Here is a 5,920-nt window from a genome sequence, read left to right on the forward strand (position 1 = left end):
CTCCTCACAGTGGCACAGCTCCTTCCATTCCCTCAGCCCCGGGAGCAGGAGAGACGGAGAGGAGGGGGCAGTGGGCTGGGCCCCAGGATCTTCCCTAAGACATCAAGCCTGACTGGAACACTCATTTCTCTTTGACCTTCTCTTCTGGCCTGGCCCAACCTACAGACCATGTCACCTCCACACATTTTCCTTTCATAGCTACCCCTCTCCCACCTCTCCAGTCTCTCACCACCCTCTCAGAAAGCTCTCCCTGGCCCTGGCAGGCATCTGCCTGCTCTAGCAAACCCCACCCCCGCAACTTTCTGGCTGGGGCCAGCCAGGGCCAGTAACCCCCTCCCTGAGCCACGCCTTCTTAATATAACCCTCTGAAAGAGGAAAGCTAGCTAACAACCCTGTTCTGCTTTGATGAGCTGACCCCGCTTTTTCCAGTCACAAGGGCAGGCTGAGGCCAAATTTTCCATCCATGGAGAAAGTCCAGGGTTGGGGGATGGGGGGTGGCCCCATAGGCCAATCCGCCTCCCACTTGCTTGGTTTGAATTAGTGGGTGCCTTAAAAAGGAGCAAATGCAGCCTGGTTCTCAGAGCTGGGCCAGGCGCAGCTCAGGGAGCCAGGCAGAAAGCCGAGAGGAGAACACATTTCATTTTAATGGGAAACAGATTTGAGAGGGGAAAAAATGAGAATGAGAGAGGAATGAAACCCCGGCACTCCCAGGAGAGCAGCTGGAGGTCTGCCTGGTGTGACCTCCCATGACGATCCTGCTCACCACCCTCCCGGCCCCACCTCCTGCATGCCACAGTGTTGCACGTCCATGTGCACAGCCCTCTCACTGCCCTGTCCCTCATCGGACCCCCACAGTAGCCCTGAGCGGTAGGCTGAGCAGAGTCACTAGCCCAGCGGATCAACCAGATCCTGTTGTTCAAGGGCAGCGGCACGAGAGAGGAGGGGCACCAGAGGCCTGAGAATTAGAAACTCAGTGACGGGATCAGGTCTGCAAGAGATTTGCATGTATTTGCCTAAGTTATGCAGCAGCACAGACTCTTTGTCTATATTTAGATGTAATGAAATAATCGTATTCTTTTAAAAACTGAGATGGGGCTATTTTAAGGCAGCCAAAGATTACCTGTTTATGTATGATGCATGTAAAACTGTATGGAGAATTACGTGAACACCTATAATCACTCAGGACCCTGGAGAAAATTCTCTTTTCCATTTCCTCCACTAGTGGATTTCTCACCTTGTAAAGTGGGGAAGTGGGATACCTCCCCATTTGACAAGGCAAGAAAATGCCCCCTATCTCCCCAACAATTAAACCCTAAGGCTATTGTGTTTGCCATTAAGAGAAGCATTGGCCCCAGTCTAGGGATAAGGGAAATCAGGCAGGGTGCAGGAATACAAGAGAATCATGAGTTTAGTCTGCAAGAAGTGTATTTTCTCCTTTCCCCTTTCTAGTCCCACATGGAGCTTTCATGATGCCTGCAGGTGAGGGCCTTGTGGGTGCCAGGCACTGTATGGGGTGCAAGGGTTTCAGACATGAGTCTGAACATGGCCTCAGAGTCCTCAAAACAGGTGCGTAAAGTGATCCTATCAGTATAAAATAGTAAGACAGAATTATGTACAGAGGAGGAGTGCTTGGCCTGGGGAGTGGGGGTGGGAATTCCATGAGTGTTTCCAGGAGAAAAAAAGAAGCAAATGGAGCACAGTCTTGGCAGATGAGTAAGAGTTGGCGGGGTGGTGACAGCACGGAGGCATGGAAAAGCAAAGCAGGAGACTGTCCTGGAAATTCAGGCAGAGGCCGGTGGGGCAGAGGAGGGCCTTGTGTGTCTGCCAAGGGTTGGCTCACCATCCTGCAGGCCAAGGCAGCTTTCGGGTGAAGAGTGCTTCGGTCACCTTTAACATGGGTGTTTTGGGCTGCACGGTGGGCTGGAAGGCTGGAGAGAGGTCAGAAAGGAAGCTGCTGCAAACATCCAGAAGGTGATGATGGTCTGAGCAATGGTACCATTGGGAGGGCAGAGGAGGAGAGAGCAGGATTGAGAAAAATTGGAAAGGGAATCAATAGGACCGAGTTAGTAGGTGACTCTAGAGGGCAACCGTAAGGAGGAGGAAAGAGGGGCATGAAGGAATCCAGCAGACTGACATTGTGTTCTCTGTTGGAGAGATCTGGAAGTCAGAGAGGATGAAGCTGTTCAGGAGACAGGAGAAGAGTAAAATCTTTTTTTTTTTAACCTTCCAATGGCCAGATAGAGCTGTTGGGCAACCCCTCAGCTGAGATGCTCCCCTGATTGGAGACTCCCTAGCTCCAGCTGCTTGCAAGCTCAGGCAACATCCTGCAGCCTCTGGAGGATTTAATTCAATTCAACAAATGCTTATTGAACAGTTACTCCACATAGGGAAAGGAGAATCTAATGATGATTGAGTACTTAAATTGTGTTCACAGAGTGTTAAGTGCATTTACATGTAATCTCATCTCTAGTCACCATCCCCTCATCCCTGAGAGGCCAAGTCATTACCCTCCAGGGGCCTGAGAGGTCGAGTCATTTGTCCAAGTTTGGGTGGTAAGTAAGCGGCAGTGCCAGGAGGCAAACCCACAAGTAGTGCCTTATCACTAAGTCACATTGTTACACAATGAAGCCAGGAGGTTGCAAGTGACGAATACACTATTTTAAGCAAATCAAGGAATGCATTGGCTTATTTAACTAAAAAGCACATGAGTCAGCTGGCTCCAGGCACAGCTAGATCCAGGAGCTCAAAAGATGCTGTCAGTTCTCTCTTGCACTTGCTCATAAATGAGTAAATCCATCTCACTCCCATTTATGTTCATCTTGGCTCATCCATAAGGCAGCATAGCACGCAGAGCATAGCATGACTGTTTTGGAGTCCCACAGCCTGGGTTCCAATCCGGACTCCACCACCTAACTAGCTGGATGATTTCAGATGAGCTGCTTAACTTCTCAGTGCCCCTGTTTCCTTGTCTCTAAAATTGATATAATAATATTACCTCTTAGGATTTTTGTGAGGAGTAAATTAGATCGTCCACACAGTGTGCTTGGAGCAGGGTCTGATACAAAATCCGCACCCCAACATATCAGCCATTGTTCTTTCCATCTCTGCCTCTTTTGAGGTGGGTCTCATTCTCTCCTATGTTAGATGCCTTCTTCCGTGTAGCCCAGAGAGATGGCCCCAAGCAACCCCACCTTACATCATCCTTTCAGCCTCTGGTCTCAGGAAAAGAGCTCTTTCTCTGTGTATGGAGGTAGCATGCCCATCCCTGCAGCCATCTCTGAGGCCAGGGGCTGCATCTTCTGTGCTGCTCTGTGGAGGTGGAGGTGGGGCACCATGACTCACAGCCCCCCGTGGGTCATATAGAAGTAGAAGAAGGAGGGTTCCTTAAAAGATGGGATGCTGTGAAGACAAAATAACATATGTCCACTGTTCTGTGCTAGTTGCCGTTATGACAGAGTGTGACAAAAAGTGAGTACGGCAGAGTCTCCTCTCCATGAAAACTTATATCAAAGTAGGAAAGACGAGACAAGGACACATTTATCCAGAAGGCAGACTGTGACAAACTCCATGAGAGAAGGACTGTTAAGATCCCCTGCAATTTTCAGGAAAGAAAAAAATCACACATGGTTGGGTGAATCAGTAATGAGTTTGATGAAGGAGTTTGGCTCCTGGGGATGGTGTCCATTCAGCAAGTACAATAGCGTAGGGGAAGAGGACCTTCTAGTTTGATAGCATAGGGTAGAAAAAGGAATCCTGAGCAATGAGGCTGGAAGGCAGAGCTGGCAGCAGCACATGCACAGAAAGCAGGCGGAGGTCAAGGACTGTTAACTCAGGGGACTAGAAAAGAAACAGCCATACACAGATATTGAATTATCAAGACTGAAGGCAGGGGATGCATGATGTGGAAGAGGCTGTGAGTCAGATGCTGAGGTCATTTAGAAAGTTCTGGGCCGGGCTTGGTGGCTCATGCCTGTAATCCCAGCATTTTGGGAGGCCGAGGTGGGTGGATTGCCTGAGGTCAGGAGTTCGAGACTAGCCTGGCCAACACGATGGCCCATCTCTACTAAAAATACAAAAATTAGCCAGGTGTGGTGGCAGGCACCTGTAGTCCCAGCTACTTGGGAGGCTGAGGCATGAGAATCGCTTGAACCTAGGAGGTGGAGGTTGCAGTGAGCCCAGACCGCACCACTCCACTTTAGCCTGGGCAACAAAAGTGAAATTCTGTCTCAAAAAAAAAAAAAAAAAAAAGAAAGTTCTGGATTTATGAGCATCATCATTCAGGATGAGGAGAAGCCAGGAAAAGCAGATGGCCAGATGGCCAGATGGCAAAGATTTTAAAGAAAAATCTTAATTCTTAATCCCCAGTGCCCTCCAGAGACTTCTTTAATTTTTTTTTCTTTCCCTTTTTTTTTTTTTTCTTTTTTCTTTTTTGAGGCTGGGTCTTGCTCTGCTTCCCAGGCTAGAATGCAGTGGTGTGATCTCAGCTCACTGCAGCCTTGACCTCCTGGGCTCAAGCAATCCTCCTGCCTTAGCCTCCTGAGTAGCTAGGACTACATGTGCATGCCACCACACCCAGCTATTTTTTTTTTTTTTAATTTTTTGTAGAGATGATGTTTTCCTATATTGCCCAGGCTAGTCTCAAACTCCTGGGCTCAAACAATCCTCCTGCCTTGGCCTCCAAAAGTGCTAGGATTACAAGCATGAGCCACCATGCCTGGCCTCCTCCAGAGACTCACGTGAATTCCAATTAATCTAATTCAAGAGAAGTTAGCTTTCTAGAAGTAATTTTATATCTGTGATAGGTGTGCAATCATTCATTCATTTATACACTCATTTAACATTTGTTCAGCATTGTGCTGGGCTCTGAGAACACAAATAAACAAGGCTTGGGCCCTGCCCTCAAGGATCTCTCTGTCCGGTGAAGCTAGCACTCTGTTTATACCTGCTGGCCACACACCCTATACTGGTGATCTGTTATGTGCTCAGCTCCCCACCAGACTGGGCATTCCATTTTATAAATGTTCATTGACTGATTAATTCTATCTCTAGCCCCAGTCTCCACTTGGATTGAGAGACTAAATACAACAATTTCATTTCCATTGTGTCTGTTTTGTCCATAGTCCAGAAGTCATGGAGAGCAACAGGGAGAAAGCTGAGGCTTCTTCATGGGAATAGCTGCCCTTGGAAAGTGCTGGTTCTGTCGGAAGGAAAGTTATGCAGGGAAGGGAAGGGAAAGCATTATCTAAGGCAAAGCCAATGACAGAGGAGAGTCCAACGGGCCTGTGTAGGGGCAGGGAAAATGTGTGGGCACTGGTAGGGGATAATTGTGCTGGGGACTGAGAGCTCAAAGACAGAGACCAGACAAGGGGTTTGTGCTTAAAGCAGTGAGAGGAAGACAGAGGCTGCAGGTGAGCAGCTGGCAATAGGGAAGCAGGGGAGAGAAAGGACTGAGAGGGAGAATTTTATAGTAGCACACGTGGGAGGATAAAGATGACCAAGAACTCTGACATTCCCTCCATCAAGAAATGGGCTCTATCACCACTCCCATTGACTCTGGGCTGGCCTGTGACTGCTTTGGCCAATAGAATATGACAGCAATTGCAGAGTGCAGTGGCACACACCTGCAGGCCCAGCTACAGGATCACTTGAACCTAAGAATTTGAGGCTGTACTGTGCTGTGATTGAGGCTGTGAGTAGCCACTGCACTCCAGCCTGGGCAACAGAATGAGACCCTGTCTATTTGTTGTTGTTTCAGACGGAGTTTCACTCTTGCTGCCCAGGATGAAATGCAATGGCATGATCTTGGCTCACTACAACCTCTGCTTTCTGGGTACAAGTGATTCTCCTGCTTCAGCCTCCCGAGTAGCTGGGATTACAGGCATGTGCCACCATATCTGGCTAGTTTTTTATTTTTAGTAGA

At 48.5% G+C, this 5,920-nt stretch overlaps 2 annotated features.

Moving 5' to 3' along the window:
* Positions 294-1,218: an enhancer, noted in NCBI's record as "H3K27ac-H3K4me1 hESC enhancer chr1:203525277-203526201 (GRCh37/hg19 assembly coordinates)". NCBI's record gives its function as "activates a minimal SCP1, AML or CMV promoter by ChIP-STARR-seq in naive H9 embryonic stem cells {active_cell/tissue: H9 hESC(naive)}" and the evidence as "EXISTENCE:reporter gene assay evidence [ECO:0000049][PMID:30033119]".
* Positions 1,232-1,809: an enhancer, noted in NCBI's record as "H3K4me1 hESC enhancer chr1:203526215-203526792 (GRCh37/hg19 assembly coordinates)". NCBI's record gives its function as "activates a minimal SCP1, AML or CMV promoter by ChIP-STARR-seq in primed H9 embryonic stem cells {active_cell/tissue: H9 hESC(primed)}" and the evidence as "EXISTENCE:reporter gene assay evidence [ECO:0000049][PMID:30033119]".

Source organism: Homo sapiens, chromosome 1, assembly GCF_000001405.40.
Source record: "Homo sapiens chromosome 1, GRCh38.p14 Primary Assembly".
Lineage (NCBI taxonomy): Eukaryota > Metazoa > Chordata > Mammalia > Primates > Hominidae > Homo > Homo sapiens.